The sequence below is a fragment of the Homo sapiens genome, chromosome 2 (assembly GCF_000001405.40).
Source record: "Homo sapiens chromosome 2, GRCh38.p14 Primary Assembly".
Lineage (NCBI taxonomy): Eukaryota > Metazoa > Chordata > Mammalia > Primates > Hominidae > Homo > Homo sapiens.
The window spans coordinates 111,052,172-111,076,028 of record NC_000002.12 but is presented as its reverse complement, the minus strand read 5'-3'; the positions used below and the strand labels follow the sequence as shown (position 1 = coordinate 111,076,028).

The following is a 23,857-nucleotide window of genomic DNA, read 5'->3' as shown; positions in this document are numbered from 1 at the left end:
AAGGACAAATGAAATATCCACCAAGATAGACCATATCCTGGGTAACAAGACAAATTTTGACAATTAAAAAAATCTAAACATAAATTAGACATGGTATCTTCTCTGATTATAATAGAAATAAATTTGAGATCAATAACATAAAGAGAACAGGACAAATTCTAGACACTTAAAAATTAGACCTCATACTTCTATATATAATTCTATATATAATTCATGGGTCAAGGAGGAAGTCTCAAGGGAAATTAGAAGTGGAGAACAATGAAAATGCAATATATAAGTTGTTGTGGGGTGCAGGAAAAGTAGTACTCAGAGGCAAAGTTATAGCATAAAATGCTTACAAGAGAAAAGAAGAAAAGTCTAAAATCAATAATCTAAGTATACCTCAAGAAACTAGAAAAACAAGAGTAAAACCCAAAGCAACTGGAAGAAAATAAATAATAAATATAAAAACAGAAATCAATAAAAATAGAAATATGATAGAGAAAAATAAATGTAAAAGTAAAGGTTGTTCTTCAAAAAGATAATTGATAAAGTTCTAACAAATTTACAAAGACAAAAATAGACACAAATTACTGAAATCAAAAATGAAAGAAGGGAAAGCAGTACAGCCTCACAGTAATCAAAAGGATAAAATAAAACACTATGAACAACCTTACACACATAATTTGGTAACAGCTGAAATGAAGTAATTCCTTGAATATTTCATGTTACCAAGGATCATACGAAATGAAATACATAACAAGAATCATCTCATTAAAGTTTAAGAAAATGTAATTCATAGTTAAAAGATTGTAAAAAAAAGAAATCTCTAGGCCTTAATGGTTTCATTGGTGAATTCTACCCAATATTTACATAAAAAATAACACTGATTCTACACAATCTCTTCCAGGAAACAGAAGAGGAGGGAACCCTTCCCAACTCATTTTATGAGGCCAGTGTTACTGTGATACCAAAACTAGGCAAAGATCGTACAGGAAGAAAAAAACCTACAGACCAAGATTTCTCAGGAACATAGATGCAAAAATCCCCAACAATTTATTAGCAAATGGAATGCAGCAATATATAAAAAGAATAATACATCATGACCAAGTAGACTTTATCCTAGGAATGCAAGGCCAGTTGCATACTCAAAACTAAACCATTAGATGGGTCACGCTTGTAGTCCCAGCACTTTGGGAGGACAAGGTGAGTGGATCACTTGAACCCAGGAGTTTGAGACAAGCTGGGACAACATGGTGAAACCCTGTCTCTAAAAAAAATATAGAAATTAGCTAAGCATGGTGGCACACACCCATAGTCCCAGGTATTTGAGAGGCTGAGGTGGAAGAATGACTTGAGCCCAGGAGGTCAAGGCTGCAGTGAGCTGTGATGGCACCACTGCACTCCAGCACGGGAGATGGTATGAGACCTGGTTTCCAAAAAAAAATCAAAAGACATTGTTATTTATCATATTAACAACCTAAAAAAGAAAAAAAAACCATAATCATATCAATTGATGCAGAAAAAGCATTTGGCAAAATTTAACATTAATTCCTGATTTAAAAAAATCTCTTAGGAAGCTAGGGATAGAAGAGAACTGTCTTATCCTGATTAAGGACAATTACAAGAGAAAAACACACATACACACAGAAAGCCCTGTAGAGAATATCATATCTAGTTGCAAAAGGCTGAACACTTTCTGCCTAAGATCTGGAACAAAGTAAGGATGTCAATTCTCATCACTCTTATTCATCACATACTGAAAATCCTAGCCAATGCAACAAGGCAAGAAAAAGAAAACAAAGCCATGGAAATTGGAAAGGAAACAATAAAACTGTTGCTATTCACAGACAACATGCTTGCTTACATAGAAAAAAAAAAAAACAACACACAGTAAATGTCCCCCGACATGCCCTAAATCCTCTAGAACTAATAACGAGCTTAGCAGGTTACAGGATACAAGGTCAATACATTAAAACATTGATTATATTTCTAAATACTAGCAACATACAACTAGAAAGCAAAACTTAAAACAACATACCTTTTTACCACAGCTTCCCCCAAAATGAAATATTTAGTTATAAATCTACAAAAACATGTACATCATCCTTATGCTGGAAATAAAAAATCTGGATTAAAGAAATCAAAGAGGAACTAATAAAATGGATCGGAAGAGTCAACATAGTACATTTGTTAATTCTTCCCAAACTGATCCATAGATTTTTTATAATTCCAATCAAAATCACCAATGAATTTTCTGTAGATAGAGACAAAATGATTCTAAAATTTGCATGTAAAAGAAAAGAAACTAGAATCACTAAAACAATTTGCCAAAGATGAATAAAGTCAGAGGAATTATCTTATTTGATTTTAAGGCTTAGTATAAAGTTATACTAATGAAGATAGTGTGGTTGAGAAATATACACGTAGGTCAATGGGAACAAAATATAAAAATCCAGAAATAATTCTACACAAATATGTCCAAATATTTTTTCACAAAGATGCAAAAGGAATTGAATGAAGAAAGGATAGTATTTTCAACAGATATCACAATAGTCAATTTGATATCACAATAGTCAAAAGATAAGCATATCTTGACCTAAACTTCACATCTTACAGACAAATCAGGTCAAAATGAATTATAAATCTAAATGTAAAACAAAAAAACTCTTAAACTTTTAGAAAAATAATGAGATAAAACCTTCATGACTTGAGGTTTAACGAAGAGTTCTTAGGTTTGGCATCAAAAGCATAACTCATGAAAGAGAAAAATGGATAAATTGGATTTCATCAAAATAAAAAACTTTTCTCTGCAAAAGGCACTGATAAGGAAATGAAAATACATACTATACAATGGGAGAAGATATTTGCAAAAGTCACATATCCAAAAGAGAATTTGTATTTAGAATCTATAAATAACTCTCAAAGCTCAACAGTAGGAAAACAAATTATCCAATTAAAAATGGGAAAATGATTTTATCAGTTTCACTAAAGGGGATACATATGGCAAACAAGCACATCGAAAGATTTTCAACAGCATCAGCTACTGGGGAGATGCAAACTAAAACCACAGTAAGATGCCTCTATATATCTATTGGAATAGGAAAAATAAAAAATACACAATACTGAGTGTCAGCTAGGATGCTGAGTAACTGGATCTCTCATACATCAGGAACAAAAAGTTTCTTCTAAAGTTATATGCTTGCCATATAATCCAGTAAATTCATTCCTGGGTATTTAACCAAGAGCAGTGGTTCTCAGGTGTGGATGATATTTGCATTTGTCAGTGTCTGCAGACATTTTGATTGCCACAATTGGCAGAGTTCTACTGGCATCAGTAGGGGCCAGGGATAAACTAAACATTCTGCAATGCACATGGCAGTTCCCTCACAACAAAGTATCTGGCCCCAGATGTCAAGGTTGGCAGTGCCAATGTTGAGGTAAGAAACTTGGTCCTTGAGAAATGAAGATTTATGTTCACATAATAATCTGTACATGAATACTTATAGCAGCTCTACTCACAATTGTCAAAAACTGGACATAACCCAAATGTCCTTCAAAGGGTGAATGGAAAAACAAACTCTGCTAATCCACACAACGGACCAGTACTCAGCAATGAAAATGATTCACTGTTGATGAATGCAACCACTTGGCTGAATCTCAAAGACATCATGCGGAGTGAATGAAGTCCATATCAAAAGTTTACAGATTGTATGATTACATTTATATGGAATTTTGTCAAAAAGACAAAATTATAGTGATGAAGAATAATAGATCATTGGTTACCAGGGGCTGCTGGAAGAGAGAGAGAACAATTATGGAGCCATAGCATAAAGGATTATTTTAGGATGGTTAAATTATTCTGGTTACATATACATATATTTCGTGTGTCATCTTCTTATTTCTGGGCTCCCTCTTCTTTGCTATGGCAAATTCCAGGCTGAAACGGCTGCATTCTCTAAGTGTCTATGTACTGAAACCTTGTCCAAGGATCTCCCTGTTCTTTCATTGAAAGTTACTCCTTCCCTTCCTGAGTTCCCACAGCTGTTTGTTTTCCTGTCTGTTACACATTCTGCCTGTTGGTATAATTATTAGGCCATGTGACTTTCTCCCTGACCACAACACGATCACAAAGGCAGGAACTGTGGCTCATGTATCTTGGAGTTCCCCACAGGGCCTAGCCTGGCATCAGGGCTCAGTGTGCATTTGTGGAACTGAAAGCCTTGGTTCCCAGGAGCTCAAGCCCACTGGGACCAACAACAGAACGAAGGGAGTTTGCCTACAATTTATGACAAGCAGGCAGCCCATCTCCATGGCCTGAGCTGCATAATAAGCAGGAAGATGAAGCAAAAGGGTTGGCCCTCCAGTGTCAGAGAAGATGAACAAAGCTTATTAATGCATGGTAATACCAGCGTGATATCAGAACAGCTTCCCCCAGCAACAACCCAGTTCTCTCACTGTGATGAAGTGCTCTGCCTTCTGCCTCAGACTTTAGCCACTTGGGATCTGCATTATTGCCTTGTAAAATTGATGGGCAGTGGCACAATCTCCTAGTTTAAGGAATTTCTGTTAGCATTAGCAAAATGCAATGGCTTTGCAATTTCTAAGGGCATTCCTTGCAATAGGAAAGTGAATAAAAATTGGGCCAGACTGGAACAATGCCCATCTCTAATCCCTGTGGCTCCCCTGCTCAGTCTCCTCCATGTCATCAGCAGCAGGTGTGAGCTCAGGTCTCCCAAGGTGGGCAAGTCTTATTTATACTTAACCTGAATGGGGCAAGAGGGGGGATGTTCATCTTAGTGGGTCTTTTTCTTTGATCCCCTGAGGAGGTTATTCAAGATCAGAGTCTCTTTTCCTTCCAAACTGCTTGGAGATGTTTCCCAATTTTTAAAATCCAACCTGCTCAATAGTCTTGTGTCTTAAAAACTATGCTTCTTTAGAAAGGTGACAGGCAGTGGCAGCTGGATCTTTCTGGTAGCCAAGTGCTCTGGGGAGAGGAGGGTTGAGAATGAATCTGAGCTTTTCCTTCTAAGTCTTTGGATTTTGAGTAGCCCAAGATGGCTCTCTTCACCACCATGTTCTGAAGCAGGGGTGACTATTTCTCTTCCTGAGGTTGGGGAGCTGAGTATCACAGTTAGGCAACGGTGGGCCATGCGCTGGTGAAATGGATCAAACATACAGGCCACGAGGGAAAGCAGGAACAGGCCACAGACAGTCAGACCCAAGGCACATGCTATTTTCTGCCTTACTGAAAAGATGAAACATAGCTGTATCCTGGCCGCTTCAACTGGCGGGAAATGAAAAGTACAGAAAACCCATCTACAAGAAGTAAAATCAACAAGCACAAAGGGAGACAGAGGAAAGCTCTGGAGAAGGTAAGCAAAGACTTTTTTTTTTAACTTTTATTTTAGGATCGTGGGTACATGTGCAGGTTTGTAATATAGGTAAACTTGTGTCACAGGGGTTTGTTGTAAAGATTATTTCATCACCCAGGTACTAAGCTTAGTATCCAGTAGTTATTCTGTTCCTCTCCCTACTCCTAGCCTCCACTTTCAGGTAGGCTCCAGTGTCTGTTGTTCCTCTCTATGTGTCCATGTGTTCCTACTTATAAGTGAGAGCATGTGGTACTTGGTTTTCTGTTCTGGTATTTGCATTAGTTTGTTAAGGATAATGGTCTCCAGCTCCATCCATGTTCCCGTAAAAGACACGAGCTCATTCTTTTTTGTGGCTGTACAGTATACCATGGTGTATATGGACCACATTTTCTTTATCCAGTCTACCATTGATGGGCATCTACGTTGGTTGATTCCATGTCCTTGCTATTGTGAATAGCGCTGCAATAAACATTTACGTGCATGTGCCTTTATGGTAGAATGATTTATATTCCTCTGGGTATATACCTAGTAATGGGTTTGCTGGGTCGAAGAGTAGTTCTGTTTTTTAGCTCAAAGACATCTTTTTACTGGCATGCTGAATACGCTTGGACAGAGAGGGGACTGGAGCCCTGCTGCTTCTGAGTCCTGAGGGCAGGCCGACGGACATGCTTCTTCTTCTATTTGGGGGGTCACAGGGCTGGCTGCAGCACCTGTGGGTTACCATGCTTTGGCAAACTCACTGTCCCCCTTGTGGTGTTGCAGTGCCTTTACCATGTCCAATGGGAAGGAGCAAATTCAAAAAGCACAGCTTTGCAAGCAGAGGCAAGGTTATTCCCTTTGGGGCTCCTACATAACCTACTGTGTAGACTGGCTCAGAATCATACCTACCTCTTCTGCATGCAGAGAGGTGATTCATGGAGGAGCATATGGCCAGGCTCTTCTCCCTGACTTTTTTTAAAATCCAAAATTGGGTTGATTTCAACTCAACTTACTGTCACCCCCAATTCCCCATCTGTCCTTGACTTTGGACTTAGAGTCTTTACTTCGAAGGTTAAAAGCTGTGTGTTATGGACTGAATTGTGTCCCTCCCAAATTGTTAGGTTTAAGTCCCAACCCCCAGTGGTGTTTGAGGATAAGATTTTTAAAGAGATAATTAAGTAAAAATGAGGCTGTTAGGGTGAGGCCCTAATCCAAAATAACTGATGTCCTTATAAGAAGAGGGAGGCCAGGTGTGGTGGCCCATGCCTGTAATCCCAGCACTTTGGAAGGCTGAGGCAGGAAGATCACCTGAGGTCAGGAGTTCAAGACCAGCCTGGCCAACATGGTGAAACCCCATCTCCACTAAAAATACAAAAGTTAGCTAGATGTGATGGCGCATACCTGTAATCCCAGCTACTCAGGAGGCTGAGGCATGAGAATCACTTGAACATGGGAGGCGGAGTTTGCAGTGAGTCAAGATCCCGCCACTGCAATCCAGCCTGGGCAACAGAGAGAGACTCTGTCTCAAATTAAAAAAAAAAAAAAAAAAAGAAAAAGAAGAGGGAGACACATCAAGGACGTGCATGCACAGAGAAAAGGCCAGGACATAGCGAGAAGACGGCCATCTGCCATATTTTGTTATAACAACCTAGCAAAAAAATACACCATAGGGAGCACATTAGAATTCAGGAAGCAATGACCACGGAACATTTTCATTCCAGTGATCCACTTGTATTTCAGGAAAATTCAGAAAAATCCCTCAAGCCACAGCCATTTATACACGTATGTATGTATGTATTCATCCACCATTCTATCCTTCCTTGCTAATTTTTCCTGTGTCATCAAATATGACAGCAGTGAGAAAAGAAAGGCCAGAATGAGCTGAGAAGAATCCTCTAAATCCTATGGGAAAACAGAGGAAGCCTGCATTAGTGGTGTTGGGGTCAAAAAGAGGCTTCAAGGATTTATAGGTGAAAGAAACCCGTCGGTGACCATCTGGATTAATTGTTGGGCAAGACTCCCTAGAGGCAGAACTGGAAAAACCTGTTGAGCATAGCCCATCCAGTAATAACTTGAAAAGCTTCCTCCTATCCTCTGCAGCTAGACCACAGGCCACAGAGCCTTGGGGGCCATGTGGATGCAGGTCAGAGCCTTCTCTGCATCTAAAAACCAGCCACTTCAGGCTTATCCTGAACCTATGCAGAGCAGCTTAAGAGGATTCACTGATGGGCTCCTTTGGGTGCTGAAATTTCAAGGCTCACCTGGGTTTCCTTTATACCTGTGTATCTAAGAACATTCAGCTAAATCTTGCTGACCTCTTCACCACAGCATATAAGGCCTTCTGTGACCCGGCCCCAGCCTCAGCCCCACCATACCCCCAGGTCACGCCCCCGTGCTCCAGTCATAGAAAACCATGTGGGGAGCTCCAGCACGCACACCGTTTCTTCACCTAATGACTGCTGCACATGCTGTTCCTCAGCCTCCAACACCTTTTTTCTCCTGCTTCCAACTCATCCTTTGAGATTCTGATCCATAGATGCCCTGGGAAGCTATCCCGGATGGCCTGGGAGGACAGCCCCCATTCGCCTCCTCTGTTTTCACTGTATAGGGGGTGGGTGGGGAGCCAAGAGCAGCTTCCATTTGTGGGGTATTTTTTAGGTGTCAGGCCCTGGGGACCCCATGATTTTTTATTCTCCCAACAGTCCAAGAGAGGGGCACGGGGCAGCATCATGGCACACAGGATTCTCCCTCTCCCACCTCCATCTGGCCCCTGGCCACTGACCTCTTATGACACTGAGGGCTTATCTTCCCCGCACTCCCAATTCACAGAGAGCTCCCTGAAAGCAGGGCCATTTCCCCCTCCCCTGGACTTCCCAAGGCCCTGGCATATAACAGAGGCTCAATAAATATTTGTAGAATGCACTGTTCTTTGATACTTTGGTTTGTTACTTTGATTCCATTGTTATGAAACTTTTAGATTTTCCATTTTTTCCAGCAACTTATATTTTCCTAAAGCAACCACCCATTGCACCAAACATTTGAATTTTGGCTGTAAATAATGTGACAGAATACTCTTCCATATTACTTATTAGTCTCTAGGTACCTGTATTTATCTCCACTTTTTTGTTTCTACTTCAGAGTATGTTCTCTCACCTTCTTCTCTTGACTAAGCGAGTCAGTGATTTCTCTAGTTCATTATCTGCCCATTTATTTTCCGGAGAATTAGCTTGACTTTAAAAAATCCAACCTACTGTTTTCTAATGTATTTGTGTTTTTCATATTTATTTTTTTCATAGCACTTATAAAAATGCACCTTAAATTGGATACTTGATTCATCCTTTCTCAAAGTTTAAAGGTATGTTTTATTTTCTGCTTGGTTTACATTTCCATTATCATTATTTCTTAGCTATTTAGAATTTTATATTTTAATTTTTGCTTTGATCAAATATGAGTTTTAAAAGACTGCCAAATTTGTAAGTGACTAAGGTGGGGTTTTTTGGTTCTACTTCATTATTTCTAGTGTTATCTCATTGATGCAAAGGATGCCACTCAAGCTATTTTTACTTTGTGGAATTTACTGAGGTTTTCATTATAGATTAATATATGATCCATTTTTGTAAGTTTTATGAGACTCTGTAAAGAAGATGCAGTATCTGTTGTCAGGAACCAAATTCAATATATGTCCGTTACTCAACTTTATTTTTATCATTCAAAGTTTTTTCATGGCTTGGTAAGAGATGAGTTAAAATTCTCATAGAACTATGCAGTTTCTGGGATTTCTCCTGGATTTTCCTATAGTTGTGTCTTGTTTTATGTATAATTGTATTATTTCATATCATGCGTAAAATGTATGAGAGTTAAATCCCCATTAGAGACTATGACCTTTATACTATTGTGTCTTTTCTCATTCAATAATTTTTATTGTCTTGAATTCAACCCTGGCTCAGTATTTAATACAATAACCCTGATTTTGTTGTTATTGTTATTATTTACTTGATCATTCTTTGTTTCTTTGAACTTTTCTGAAAAACTTTGTTTTCAGTGCATTTTTAAGCTTTTTTATGTAATTAAATGAATTTTTCTATTTCAAGATAATTGTAGATTTACATGCAATTGTCAGAAATTATACAGAGATATGTTGGGTATCTTTTACCCAGTTTCGCCCAATGGTAACATCTTAAAAAACTATAGTACAACATCACAACCAGCATATAGATATTGATACAATGAGATCCAGATCATCTCCATCACCACACAGGTCCCTTATGTTGCCCTTTTACAGCCACACCTACTTCCTTCCTCTTTCTGCAAACATCTCCTCATCCTTACCACTGGCAGCCACTAATCTGTTATCTCTCCATATAATTTTGTCATATCAAGACTGGTATATCAACGGAATCATGGTATGTAACCTTTTGGTATTTTTTTCTTCCACTCAGCAAAATTTTTTGGTGATTCCCCATGTGAATGTATCAATAGTGCATTCTTTCTCATTGCAAAAGAATATATATTTCATGGTATGCACATACCACAGTTTCCTTAATCATTTACCCATTAAAGGAAAATTGGGTTTGTTTCCAGATTTTTTGTTATTCTGAACAAAGCAGCTATGTACATTAATATGCAAGTTTTTGTGTGAACACAAGTTTTCATTTTTGGGGGGATAAATACCCAAGAGTGTAATTTCTGGGCTGTATGGTAAGCATGTGTTTCGTCTTCTAAGAAGCTGCTACACTCTTTTTCAGAGTGGCTGTACCATTTTATATTCCCACCAGCAATGTATGAATGATCCAGTTTCTCTTCATCCTCACTTGCATTACGTGTTATCACTGTTGTTTATTTTAGCCATTCTGATAGGTCAATAGTGTTAGGGGGAAAGAGTTCATCTTATTATGGTTTTAATCTGCATTTCCTTAATGGTTAATGATGTTGAATGTCTTTTCATGCGTTATTTGCCGTCTCTAGCCTCATGAGTGAAACGCCTGTTTTTATCTTTTGCCCTTTTCCTAACTGGATTTTTAAAAACCTGTTTACATTTGATTGTTCCTTGTATATTGTAGGTACTATGCCTTAGTGTGTGATATGTGCTTTGCAAACATATCCCAGACTGTAGCTTGTCTTTTCAGACTCTGAACATAGTCTTTCACAGAACAAATGCTTTTAATTTTGATGATGTCCTGTTTATCAGTTTTTCCTTTTATGAATCACGCTTTGGGTGTGAACCCTAAGAGCTCACCGTCTAACCATAGTTGCCAAAGGTTTTCTTCTATATGTTTACTTCTAAAGTTTTTGCAGTGTTACATTTTATGTACATTTAAGTCCATGATCTATTTTGAGTTAAATTTCATATAAAATGTGGAACTTAGATTAAGGTTCTTTAATTTTTCTTATTTTGCCTATGGATGTTCAAGTATTCCAGAACCATCTGTTGAAAAGGCTATCTTACTTCACTGGAGTTGCTCATGCCATTTCATAAAAAAATCAGTTGGGCATGTTGGTATGGGTCTATTTCTGCACTCCCTATTTTTATCCATTGTTCTATGTGTGTATTCACCTGCCAATACCATACAGTCTTCATTACTATAGTTATATGTCTTAAAATTGGATAGACTGATTCCTCCCACTTTATTCTTTTTCAAAATTGTTTTAGCTATTCTAGTTCCTTTGCCTTTCCATATAAATTTCAGTATAAGTTTGTCTATAGCAATAAAAAAATCTTGCTGAAATTTTGATAAAAATTAGGTTAAACCTGTATTCGATATGGGGATAAATAATATCTTTACTATGCTGAATCTTCCAATTGATGAATATGGTATATCTCTCCATTTTATAGCTCTACGTTGATTTGTTTCATTAGCATTTTGTAGTTTTCAGCATACAAGTCCTTTACATGTTTTGTTAGGTTTATACCTAAGTATTTCTAATTTTTTGAGACATTGTACATGGTGTTTTTTGAAATTTTGGTTTCCAGGTGTCCGATACTAGTAAAGTCAGTCCTCCATATCCACGGATTCTGCATCCATGGATTCAATCAATCACAGATCAAAAATATTTGGGAAACGAAAGGATGGTTGTGTCTGTACTGAACACGTACAGTCTTTTCTGTTGTCATTATTCCCTAAACAATACAACAACTACTTACATAACATTTACATTGTATTACATATAGTAAGTAATTTAGGGATGACAAAGTAGGTATCTTTGTGCATAAGTTATATGCAAATACTATATAGTTGTTGTTTTTTTTTTGTTTTTTTTTTGAGATGGAGTGTCGCTCTTTCGCCCAGTCCGGGCTGCAGTGGCGCAATCTCGGCTCACTGCAAGCTCCGCCTCCCAAGTTCACGCCATTCTCCTGCCTCAGCCTCCCGAGTAGCCGGGACTACAGGTGCCCGCCACCACGCCCGGCTAATTTTTTGTATTTTTAGTAGAGACGGGGTTTCACTGTGTTAGCCAGGATGGTCTCGATCTCCTGACCTCGTGATCCACCCACCTTGGCCTCCCAAAGTGCTGGGATTACAGGCGTGAGCCACTGTGCCCCGCCTACTACATAGTTTTATATAAGGGACTTGTGCCTCCCTAGATTTTGGTATCTGAGTGTTGATCCTGAAATCAATCCCCCACAGATACCTTGGGACAACTATATATAGAAATACAATGAATGAACGTTGACCTTGTATCTGCAACCTTGCTGAGTCACTTTTTAGTTCTAGGAATTCCTTTCCTTGTCTGCCTGCTTTCCTTCCGTCCTTTCTCTCTCTCTTTCGTTCATTTCTTTCTCCTTCCTTCTTTCCTTGCTTCATTCTTGTAGATTCCTTGGAATTTTCTACATAAACAATTATGTCATCTGCAAACAGGGCTACTTTTGTCTCCCTTTATTATCTAAAAGGATATGTCTTTTATTTCTGTATCTTGCCTTATTGCACTGGCTAGAACTCCTAGTACTACATTGAATAGAAATAGTAAGACCAAACTTTGCCTTGTTTTTAGTGTTAGGGGGACAGCATTCAATTTTTCACCACTAAGTATAATGTTAGCTATAGGAATTTTGTAGATACTCTTTTCCAAGTTGGGGAAGTTCCACTTTCTTCCTATTTGTCTAGGAGTTGTTATCATGAGTAATTGTTGAATTTTGTCAAATGCTTTTTTCTGCATCAATTGGAATGATAATGTGATTTTTTTTTCTCTTTTTCCTGTTAATATGAAGAATTAGATTGGTTTATTTGTAAAAATTGAACCAGCCTTGCGTCTTCAGAGCAAACCACACTTGGTCAGTGTATAATTCTTCTCATATATTGCTAAATTCTACCCATTAATATTTTGTTAGGGATTTTTTATGTCTATGTTTATAAGGTATATTGGTCTGTAGTTCTTTTTGGTTCTGTCTTTGTCTGATTTTGGTATCAGGAGAATACTAACTTCAAAAAATGAATTGGTAAAAGTTCTCTCTTCTTCTACATTATGGAAAATATTGTGAAGAACTGATGGATATTCTTCTCTAAATTAACCACTGAAAGTATCTGGGCCTGGAATTTTCTTTTTCTGAATTTTTAAAATTGTGAATTTAATTTACTCAATAGTTATAAGGTTATCCAAATTATCTCATGTTGAGAAAGCTGTGGTATTGTGTGTTTTCGAATAATAGTCTATTTCATCTAAATTGTCAAATTTATGGGCATAGAATTTTCCTTAGTATTATCTTACTACCATTTTGATGTGCACAGAGTATATACTAATATAATCTGTCTCACTCTAGTAGCTTGTGTCTTCTTGTTAGTCTTGCCAGAGGGTTGTCACTTTTATTGATCTTTTAAAAGATCTAGCTCTTTGTTTCGTTGTTGTTCCCTATTATTTTTCTGTTTTCAATTTCATTGATTCTTGCTCCTATCTTTATTATTTACTTACTTCTGCATTCTTTGCATTTATTTTTCTCTTTATATTTTCTAGATTCTTGAGGTGGGAGCTTAGGTCACTGGTTTGAAACTTTTCTGTTTCTTAAAATAAGCTGTAAGTTTCCCTCTCAGCACTGTTTTGGCTATGTTCCACCAATTTGACGTGTTGTATTTTCATTTTCATTCTGTTCAACGTATTTTTATTTCTTTTGAGGTTTTTAAATTTTTTGAGGTTTGCTTTATGTTCCATGTTACAGTCCATCTTGGTTTATGTTCTTGGGCACTTGAAAATAATGCATTCTGCTGTTGTTGGGTAGAGTGTTCCAAAAATGTCCATAGATCCTATATGCTAAGGGTGTTAAGATTTTTTATGTGTTTTGATTTTCTGTCTAGTTGTTCTCTCAATTGTTGAGAGAGGAGTGTTGAAGTCTGTAACTGTAATTGTAGACTTGTCTGTTTCTCCTTTTAGTTCTATCAGTTTTCACATCACATATTTTGTAGCTGTCATGTTTGGTGCATACCTTTAGCAGTGCCCTATCTTCTTGGTGGATTGACACTTTTGTTAATATAGACTGTCTTTCTATGTCTCAATTATTTTCTTTGTTCTGATGTCACTTTATCTGATATTAATATAGCCGCTCTTGCTATCTTTTAATTAATATTTGCATGATGTGTTATTTTTGACCCTTTTGCTTTCAACCTATCTATATCACCCTATACACAGCATATAATTGGTTCATGTTTTTTAATCCACTCTGACCATCTGTCTTTAAATTTTTGCCTTTACATTATTCAAAATTAATATAATTATTAATATATTAAGTTTCAGACTGTCTTTTTATTTCTTGTTTTCTGTTTGTTCTCCTTGTTTTCTCATTTCTTTTTTTTCTTCCTTGGCTTACCATGCATGACTTGGGCATTTTTTAGAGTTTTATTTTGATTTATACATGGTGCTTTGGGGTGCATCTCTCTGAGTAGTTTTTTAGTAGTTACTCCAGGTATTACATTTTGTATATATAACTTTTCATGGTCTACGTGCATCAACAGTTTGAAGTGTGGAAAGTTTACCATCCTTTACATCCTATTGCCCTCCCTTGTTTATAATAGTCTAAAATGTTTTCTCTACATCTATTTAGAATCACATCAGTGTTATAATTTTCACTTCAATTATCAAACATAATTGAGAAAATTCAAAAGGAGAAGGAGAGCTAATTGAATTTACCATCTTTGTTTACCGAATTCTTTCTTCTTTCCTGATGATTCTTGATTCCTTCTTTCATCATGTCCCTTCTGTTTAGAGAACTTCTTTCCACTTTGTTAGTGTACTTATTTGGGTAATCAAGCTAATCTGAGGATAGCTTGACTTCCTCCTAATTCCTAAATGATATTTGCACTGGACATAGGTTTCTGGTTGACAGTTCCTTTTTTTCTAACACTTTAAAAATGTTGTATCACTTCTTCTGACCCCTGTGGTTTCTGATGAGAAATATGCTGTCATTTGAATTGGTTTTCTCTTTAGAGATAAAATGTTGTTTCTCTCATTGCTTTTAAGACTTTCTTTGTCTTCAGTTTTCAGAACTTTAATTAGGATGTGTCTTGGTGTGAATTTCTTTGATGTATCCTATTGGTCATTCACTTCTTGAATCCGTAGGTTTATGGGTTTTGTCAAATTGGGGGATTTTTCAATTATTATTTCTTTGAGTACTTTTTTAGCTCCATCTTCTTTTTTTATCTTTTCCTGGAACCCCAAATGATATAAATTTAGTTTTTGTTATAGTCCCACAGGTCCCTGAGGCTCTGCTCTCTTTGTTTTTCATTCCATCTTCTTTCTGTTGTACAGAGTCAGTCATTTCTATTGTATCTTCCAGTTCACTTATTCTTTCCTCTGTTCTCTCCATTCTGCTGTTGAGCCCATCTACTGAGATTCTTATTTCAGTTGTTATATTTTTCAGTTCTAACATTTCCATTTGGTTGTTTATATTTACTGTTTCTTTGCTGAGATGATTTTATTGGTGATTTTTTATTGTTTCACTTGTTTCAAGTATGTTCACTATTACTCATTGAAGCATTTTTATAATAACTGCTTTAAAACCTTTTCCAGATAATTTTAGCATCACTGTCATCTTGATATTAGTGTCTACCGATGGCTTTTTTCATTCAGTTTGATATTTTCTGGTTCTTGGTATTGTGAGTGATTTTTTGATTGAAAACTATGCATTTTGGTATTCTATGATGAAATTCTGGATCTTATTTAAACCTTGTCTTAGGTAACATCCTGTGATGCTGCACCATCAGGGGAGGGTGATACACTGCAACCTCTGTGACCACCAAGGTTGGGAGATGCTCCTCGTTGCTGCTGGGGTGGGGTGCTGGCTCCCACTAGGCCCCTGCTGATCCCACTCTGGTTGGGAAGGGTAGAGGTCCCTAATTTCTGCTCCCCAGATGGTCTCCACTGACGCTACCAGGGGGTGGCCTCATTACTATTGGAGCCAGTGGTTAAAGTCTTGACTCTCCCCATTTGGCCTTCTCTGACACCACCGCAGTGGGGAGGGGGCAGACTGACCTATTATTGCTGGGTAGAGGAAGAAGTCCAGGCTCCCCAGATGGTCTCCAGTGTCACTGTAGTGAGGCAGGAGGGGAAGGGAGGCCTCATTACTGCCAAGTGGAGATGAAAACCCCAGCTCCCTACTAGGCCTCCTCTGACAACCATAGTGGTGAGGTTGCATTGCCTCATTGTAGTCTCGTGAGTGTGGAGTCTGCACTCCCCACTGGGCCTTTCCTGGCATGGGTGAAGGTGGGACCACATATTTTTCTGTGCTGCCTGGCAGGAGGAGTCTTCTGTTTCCCCTACCCCTTCCCCTCTTCCTCCTCCTTCTTCTCTTTCTCCTACTCTTTCTTCTCCTCATTTTTTTCTCCTCCTCTCCTCCTTATCCTCCTCCTCATTTACCTCCTCTTCTTCTCCTCTTCTTCCTTTCTCTCTTCCTCTTCCTTCTCCTCCTCCTCCTTCTTCTACCCCTTCTTCTCTCTTTTTTTTTTTTCCTTTGTGTGCGTTAGCTTTTTCCAGGTTGCCAGCTTCTTCAGCTCTAACTCTGGAATGTATGAGGCACAAACAAAATTCAGGGAGTTCCTGCTGTGTCATTCTTTGGGTCTTGAGGTTCCTAGCTTGGTCTACTTTCTAGTTCTTACCTTTCAGAATCTTTTATGTTTGTTTTAAACGTAATGTCCAGTGTTTTTAGTTGGACTTAGCAGAAGGAATAGGGATGAGTATGTCTCCAGCATCTTCCTGGGAAAAATGTGCATTTTTGAAATATATATTGTATGGTTGGGTGTTATTTTTCATCCAATCTGAGAGCCTTCCACTTTTAATAGAAGGTTTGTCTCACTTATGTAATAAATCTTAATCCTGATATTGAATGTTATGTTTTGTGTACTTTCAAAATGTAACACATTAATCAATTATCAATAGGCTGTTATTAGCTGCCCTTTCCATCAGGCAAGGTTTTCAGGAACACACCAAGTTGCCTTGTTCCCATCCCAATTCCAGTTTTTTACTATTATTATTATTTTATAGAGACAGAGTCTTGCTGTATTGCCCAGGCTAGAGTACAGTGGTTCAATCATACCTTAATGTAACCTCAAATTTCTAGGTTCAGGTGATTCCCCAGCCTCAACCTCCTGAATAACTGGAACTACAGGCATGTACCACCTTGCCTGGCTAATTTACTTTTTAGAATTTTTTGTAGAGATCTATGTTGCCCAGGCTGGTCTTGAACTCCTGGCCTCAAGTGATCCTTCTTCCTCAGCCTCCCAAAGTGCTGGGATTATAGGCATGAGACACTGCCCTGGCTCATCCTGTCATTTTTACAGTTCTAGAAGAGATAAAGGTGGAAAGATTTTCCCAAAGATGAAAACATTCCATCAGGAGACCCAAGAAGAGGAAGTGATTGGTTGACTGGGGCCTTCATGGTGGCCATTTTTCTGACATTTCATCCAGAACTAATTCCCTCCCTCCTTTTTTTATCCTTCCCTTCCTTGCTTCTTGTGTACTGGGCATTTTCCTGGGTTCTGGGAGAGGAAGGGAGCAGATCAAACCAGTATTTTTCTTTTTCCCCATCTCAAAGTTTTTATCTATGGTGCTTTGTGGGTTTCTTTTTTTCCAATAGACTTTTGAACATTGTGAAATTAGCCAAAAAGAAAGCAGCTAAAATTTAGTAAGGGCAAGAGGAAGAGTTAAGCAGGTGCAGAGAGCAGAAATCTTCAAGTCTCTTAACGTTTCCAGTTTTTAATCAGGGTGCAAATGTGGTTGGTTGACGGCAGGGAGCTGCTTCAGTGTGACTGCTAGGCTTTGCTGCCTTCGTCAATCCATCCAGCGTGACTTCCCATATAACTTTAGTGTTTACATCCCCCTCACTGTGTGCTGAAAAGTCTGGGATCCCCCTAGACACCTGGTAATTCTGTTAATGTCTGCTAGTCTGGATCCATATCTCAGAAGCTCCCTGATGGAATTTCTCCGTGCTCTTGGCAAGTCACAAAAGAGATGTCTCCTGGGAACTTTAGCATCTTGATCTCTATTTAAATGGTGAAATGATAAGTCTTGGCCAGGCCCTGTTCTCTCCTCCCACTAACTTTAGTCTCCGAGAGCCAAATTTTGCTCTCAGTTTCCTATATATGACTTCTACCAAATCCTTCTAATTTTCTTTTGTCTCTAGTGATTTCCTCTCCTGCTGTCCTGTCTTCTAAAGCAGTCTGAAATGAAATCTGCCCCCAGAGCTGTGCACAGAGGAAATGGAGAACAGATCATTCAAGAAGGAACACCCCACCCGCAAGCCGTGCTAGACTCGCATGGGTAGGCATCCCCAAAGCGTTGCACCCTCCACGCCTGGGCGGCTCGCTGCTTTTCTGAACACCAGGATTTGTACTTCCTAGCTGGTTCTCCATTTAGATACTTATTTAGATGCTTGACAATGAAGTATCAAGGAGCAGAGCAGGTGTAATGTCCTCATATACTGCTGCCATCTGTGCGCTCATATGCTCCTCTTAGGCAGTCGGGCACATGTAGAGCTTGCTTCTGATGGCATTTGGATTGGAAAGACATTGGCCCATTTCTCCTTATAGCAGAACTTTGTGGAGGAGCTAGGCGAAGTGTAAATGCACAGACAGCAGAGCAGATCTGTTTGTGGCAAGAGAGGGAACCCCTCTGCCTTCCCCCTCCTAATCCCCTACCACCCCTCTCCCTCTCTACTCCTGGCCCCTGGCCTGGACACCATGCTTTCAGAATAATTCTAGAGCAACTATTAGCTGTTGATGGCTTCTGCTGCATTCCCTCCCAGAGACACCTAACTTTGACATTAACTACTGGAAGGCCCGTAAAGTCTTCCGAGCCAAGGAAGGAATATTGAATGCTATAATTTCAAGACAGCTATAGGTCAGCTGGGGAAATGTGCACAGCAAGAATGGAAGTTTCTGGATACCCCTCCCCTGGGAAGGCAGCTGTCTGGGGCCCCTATTTTGGCAGTCAGCTCTCAAGGCATGCATCAGTGCACCTGAAACACTCTATAAATGGAAAAGTCAGAACACAACGTGTCACATCGACACCACCAGCATGCACAGTGGAACCCACACAGTTGGTTAAATTTAAATTCCTGCAGAGACATGGGGACTTAGCTCAAATATCACCTCCTCAGGGGAGTCTTCCCTAAACCCAGGTTGAGTTGAGTGCCCAACTGAGTGCTCCACTAGCTTCCCAAATTCCTTTGCTCTCGGCACTTAGCCCACTCCAAGGTGCTGAAGTGTCTGTCTCACCTATTTGTCAAGGAGCTACCTGAGGGTGAGGGCCACATTTTATGGATATTTGTGCCCTCAGTGCCTAGCACAGTGCTGGACACATAGTAGGCACTCAAAAATGTTTCCGAAGAGGGACCATGCCAGCTGCGTCCAGAAAGCCACCAAAATGACCCTTTTGCTGACTTACTATGGAGCCTGGCATACTACCATGAAATTTTTTTTTTTTTTTTTTTTGGAGACAGAGTCTTGCTCTGTCACCCAGGCTGAAGTGCAGTGGTGCGATCTCGGCTCACTGCAACCTCCGCCTCCTGGGTTAAAGCGATTCTCCTGCCTCAGCCTCCTGAGTAGCTGGGACTACAGGCATGTGCCACCACACCCGGCTAATTTTTTGTATTTTTAGTAGAGATGGGGTTTCACCGTGTTAGCCAGGATGGTCTCTATCTCCTGACCTCATGATCCACCCACCTCAGCCTCCCAAAGTGCTGGGATTACAGGCGTGAGCCACCATGCCTGGCCTAAATATATATATATTTTTTTGAGTTAAAAAGTTAGCCCTATGCCTCAAAGATCCCTTTCCAAAACTGAAGCTCATTAGGAGGGATAATTGTTACCAATAATTTGGGGGGTTGGTTTGAGCTGAGCTTTGCAGAATACTTGACATAGGCTTGGCACTTGCAGGGGACCTCTAGGAGTGAAGAGAGTGAAGTATCCCGGGCTTCAATGGCATAGGAATGAGAGAAAACCATTTGTTGCTAGAAGTGTAGGTCTGAAACCTGATTTCTATGTCACCAGTAGTTCTTCTCCCAACTTTTTTTTTTTTTTAAAGTTGGGGTCTTGCTGTGTCACACAGGCTGGAGGGCAGTGGCATAAACATAGCTCACTGCCACCTCGAACTCCTGAGCTCAAACAATGCTCCTGCCTTAGCCTCCAAATCTTTTCCCTTATTAAATATAAAAACATTAGAATATACTCTTCAAGTGAGCCAGGTACTAGAAAAACACTACCTGACACACAATAGGGACTCAGTAAACATTTGTTGAACAACTTATTTTAGGAACACTGCCAGCCACACTCTTACTTCTTTCTGTGTGGCTCTAGCTTACGAGGATAAGAGAAGGTGGAGGGAAAGCTAGAAGGGGCCAGGGCTGGATTCCAAACCACAGCCCACCCACAACTCTTTATCTGCCACTCTTTATTACCTGTGTTATGGGAACTCTGCCACTCTTTATCAGCTGTGTTATGGGAATTCAGAACAAGGACTGACACTACTGATCCTGGACTGGGTTTGGAAATGCAGTCATACCCCAGAAAAGAATCCCCTTTTTTCCATGTGGAGGCCCAATCCCATTCCCAGCCCCAGATGACTGAATGGTGATGTGGGTACATGTGATGCATTCACAGGGTGTGTGGCCACAACGGGCAGCCCCTGAGTGCCTCCACTTGAGAGGCAGAGGGAAGCCCTTGCTGGTCGGAGCTTAGGACTCTCTCAATGGCATGGGGCCAAGATGAGGTCCTTGGGCATGGCAAGAGCCACCTGCAGAAGGAAGGACATCATGGTTTGCACTGTGCATGATGGAAGGTGTGTGTAGTTAATTATTGGCTGCTAGGTTTGGTGCTTAAACTAGCTACCACCTACACAGGTTGAGAAAAGGAAGAAAAAGCAGTTAGAATGCAGGAAAGAGGGAAAAACCCCACCTCACCCACTTGACAGGCTCAAACTGCTGCTGCTAGCCGCCTGTGAGGTGGGGACAGTCCCCTGCAAATGCCCTGCTTAGACACTTGGGTTGCCGTGGCGAGCACCTTACGAGAACCAAAGGCGTGAAGGCCTTCTCTGAGCACAAAGGCAGACAAAGGCACCTGCCTGGTCCTGCAGGACCAGTCCCCATGCTGGATACTGAATGGCTCAATTACTATGCCTTGGACCAAGGTTGGGGGTGGGTGAGGAGGAGAACTTTGGAAGAAGTGAAGCAGAAAGAATCTTTATGACAATGACAATTTAAGAAACATTAGACAACCAGCTTGCTGAGGTGCTTCTAAACCTTCTGTGGGGAGGTGAAGCAGTGGAGCAGTCATGTGGAAAATTCCCTTTCTCCTCCATGCACAGTCATTCCCAAGCTGAGGGAAAGGCATTGTTTTTCTTGTGAAAACCCTCATTCTGGACAGGATTCCATCAGGCTAGGGGAAAATGCCTTCGCCTGGGAAGAAGTTGTATTCAGTAAGCATGGAGGACTGAAGGGTTGAGTCATGTCGATCTCTTGGAGATTTTTGGTTGCCAGGAGGATTCAAATGTGTCTGACTTCTTAAAATGTAATTAGACAGAGAAAGGGTTGCATCTGGCCAGACCATGGTGGCAGGGGACGTGGAGGGAGGCCTGGCGTCCCTCCTTCCACACGCTCCCAGGCGTCTCTGTGCATTTGGGGGCAGCATTCATACTTGGCTGGTAAGAAATCCTAAGGAAGCTTCCAGCAGCATTCAGCCCCCACACCTCCCATCAGTGGAGCCTTCCTGGGGAGCTGTCTCTGCAGGCTTGCTCAACCTGGGCTGCAGCTCTTGGCAGCTGTACCCACCGACCCTGATGGGCCCCTGCATGTCCCACTGGGTAGACAGCAGCTATGAATACTGTTCTACATGTCTGCTTAGATCAAGGTATCATCTGTTGCACCACCAGCAGCCTGCCCACCTCAGCCAGCCCTCCACCTAGAACAAGAGGGAGCATGGTTGCTGCTGGTGCGTGACAGCCCTGCCAAAGGTTGCAACTTAGGAGCAGAGATTCAAGGCAGTGCTATAAATAAGCCAAGCTTTATTTTCCTACAGGCAGCTTGGTTTTTCTACTGTGTGCTGCCATAAATGTGGTAGATATCAGATCCACCTATAGACAGGCCTGCCTTGAGCCTCCCATGGTGCTTCTAGCCAGGTACCTTTGGCAAGGTGACCGAGCCAGGCCATAGCTGGGACTGTAGCATGGGGAATGTTCCAGGCACTCACTCAACATCACTAGAGCAGGGAAGGCTTGCTCTGAGCCAACCCTTGTTCTACTGTCTTGTTCCAGGTATAACCCATCAGCCAAAGCTCCTTCAATACTAGCTCTTGTCTCCTGACCTGGTCAGAAGCATTTACCAGCAAGGGCCACTTTCCTCTGACCATTCTATTTAAATATTTTCCAGCTTATCCGAGGGAGGCAGGGAGGCTCTGCAGGCGATGGCTTCAGGAAGTTTTAGTCCCATGGAGGCCCCTGGCTGGGGCTATCTCCCACCCAAATTGGAGGCAGCTGCTGCCAGATATGTAAGAAACTCCCAGGTGTGCAAGAACAAAATGAGGAGGTGTGATCATTTACATTCAGTAAATGATGGTGCGAGTGCAGACTGTCACCAGGAGATCTGTCTTCCTGCCAACTTCCACCCTAAACAGAGGCTCTGATTTTTAAGAGGGGACAATCCTAGTGGGAGTGGGGACAGGGAGGGTCTGGACCAAGCACTGAGAAAGAGGCCTGCTAGGCAAAGTCAAACCATGTGATTGAGGGAGAGGCTTTGGCCTTGATTCAAATCTAGGCTGACCCAATGCCCTGGTTTGCCTGGGACAGTCATGGACTATGCCTGCCATCCAAGTTCTATTTTTAATGGTGCCCCTTTCACTCACACACACACACAAAATCCATGTTTGGATGATAAGTTTTGTGATTACCCTATTCCAAAGATGAGAAGGAGTTAGGCTAGAAATGCATCCACAGAGTGACATGTAGGACGTGGGGCTCCAAGCAAGTTCACTTGGCAGCGCCTGGAGGAGAGAGACGAGTGGTAGAAGGCCAGGTTGGTTCATTCTCAAGCATATTTAGAATTGCAGCCTTGTCGATAATTTTCACTTATGACTTTGCAGAGTGTGATGCTGGAAGGGTCTTTGGGGTGGTCTAATTTACCTCCTCTTTTACTGGAAGAGGACGTTAGGCTAAAAGAGATAAAAGTGACCTGCTCAAGGTTACACTCCAGTTGCTGGCAGAGTGGGGATAGAAACTTGTCCTTAAGGGGTCAGGTCCAGGTACTCTTTGCTGGGACAGAGGGAGATGGAGGACCCTGAAAGAGGCTGCAGAGGATGAACAGACACATGGAAACTTCCATGGCAGCTCCGGGACAGGGAAGTGCCACAGACTACCCCACAGTTCCTAGATTGGGGGGGTGGGAGGACAGAAACTGGTGGGGTTTAGACTTGCTGAGCTTGCTTGGACGTGAGCTCAGGTGACACCTGGAGTCACAGGCGAGTGCAGGTGGAGCCAAGGGCAAATGGGCTCTCCAAGGTAGTGACCGAGAGGGACCAAAGAGATTAATTGGCAAATAGGACTAAGAATCAGTGAAGAAACAGGTAGGTATGGAGATCAAACGCGAACAGGGTCAAATGAGTAATTTATGGAATCTAAATATTGTTCTATGGTTCAAATTGTAGTGAAATCTGAGAGGCAACTCCTGATAACAGCTATCTTACCCTTGGGTACCGTTTCCCTAGCCCCCTTCTCGGGTCTGCAGGGTCTGTTACTTAAGCCAGTAACAGCTTCCACCTCTGCTTGGTAGATGGGAAACTGAGTCACAGAGAAGCTGGCTTTCTCCTGTCTTACAGGACCCCCAGCAACAAGGATGTGATTAACAAGCCTTGAGAGTGACTCCAGAAGCCTGCCACCACAGTACCCCTCATGGTTCCACTGCAGTCACACCTCCCGTGTGTGCTCTCATGGTGCTGAAGGGGTGGAGTGGTGGAATTTTCTATGAATTTGCTCATCTGAGTGGGCCCCGCAGGAAGAAGCCCAGCTTTCTGGTCCTAGTTCTATTGCCGGCTGACTAGCTATGCAATGGTGGCTAGTCACTT

At 40.9% G+C, this 23,857-nt stretch overlaps 1 protein-coding gene across 23 annotated transcripts in view, besides 1 other annotated feature; it reads right to left on the bottom strand.

The window, feature by feature from the left end:
• ACOXL (acyl-CoA oxidase like) overlaps nucleotides 1-23,857 on the bottom strand; it is a 385,976-nt gene that overhangs the window by 42,520 nt on the left and 319,599 nt on the right. The gene's annotated exons all lie outside the window — the stretch shown is intronic.
• Nucleotides 18,535-18,734: an enhancer, noted in NCBI's record as "active region_16379". NCBI's record gives its function as "activates an Ori minimal core promoter by ATAC-STARR-seq in GM12878 lymphoblastoid cells {active_cell/tissue: GM12878}" and the evidence as "EXISTENCE:reporter gene assay evidence [ECO:0000049][PMID:35858748]".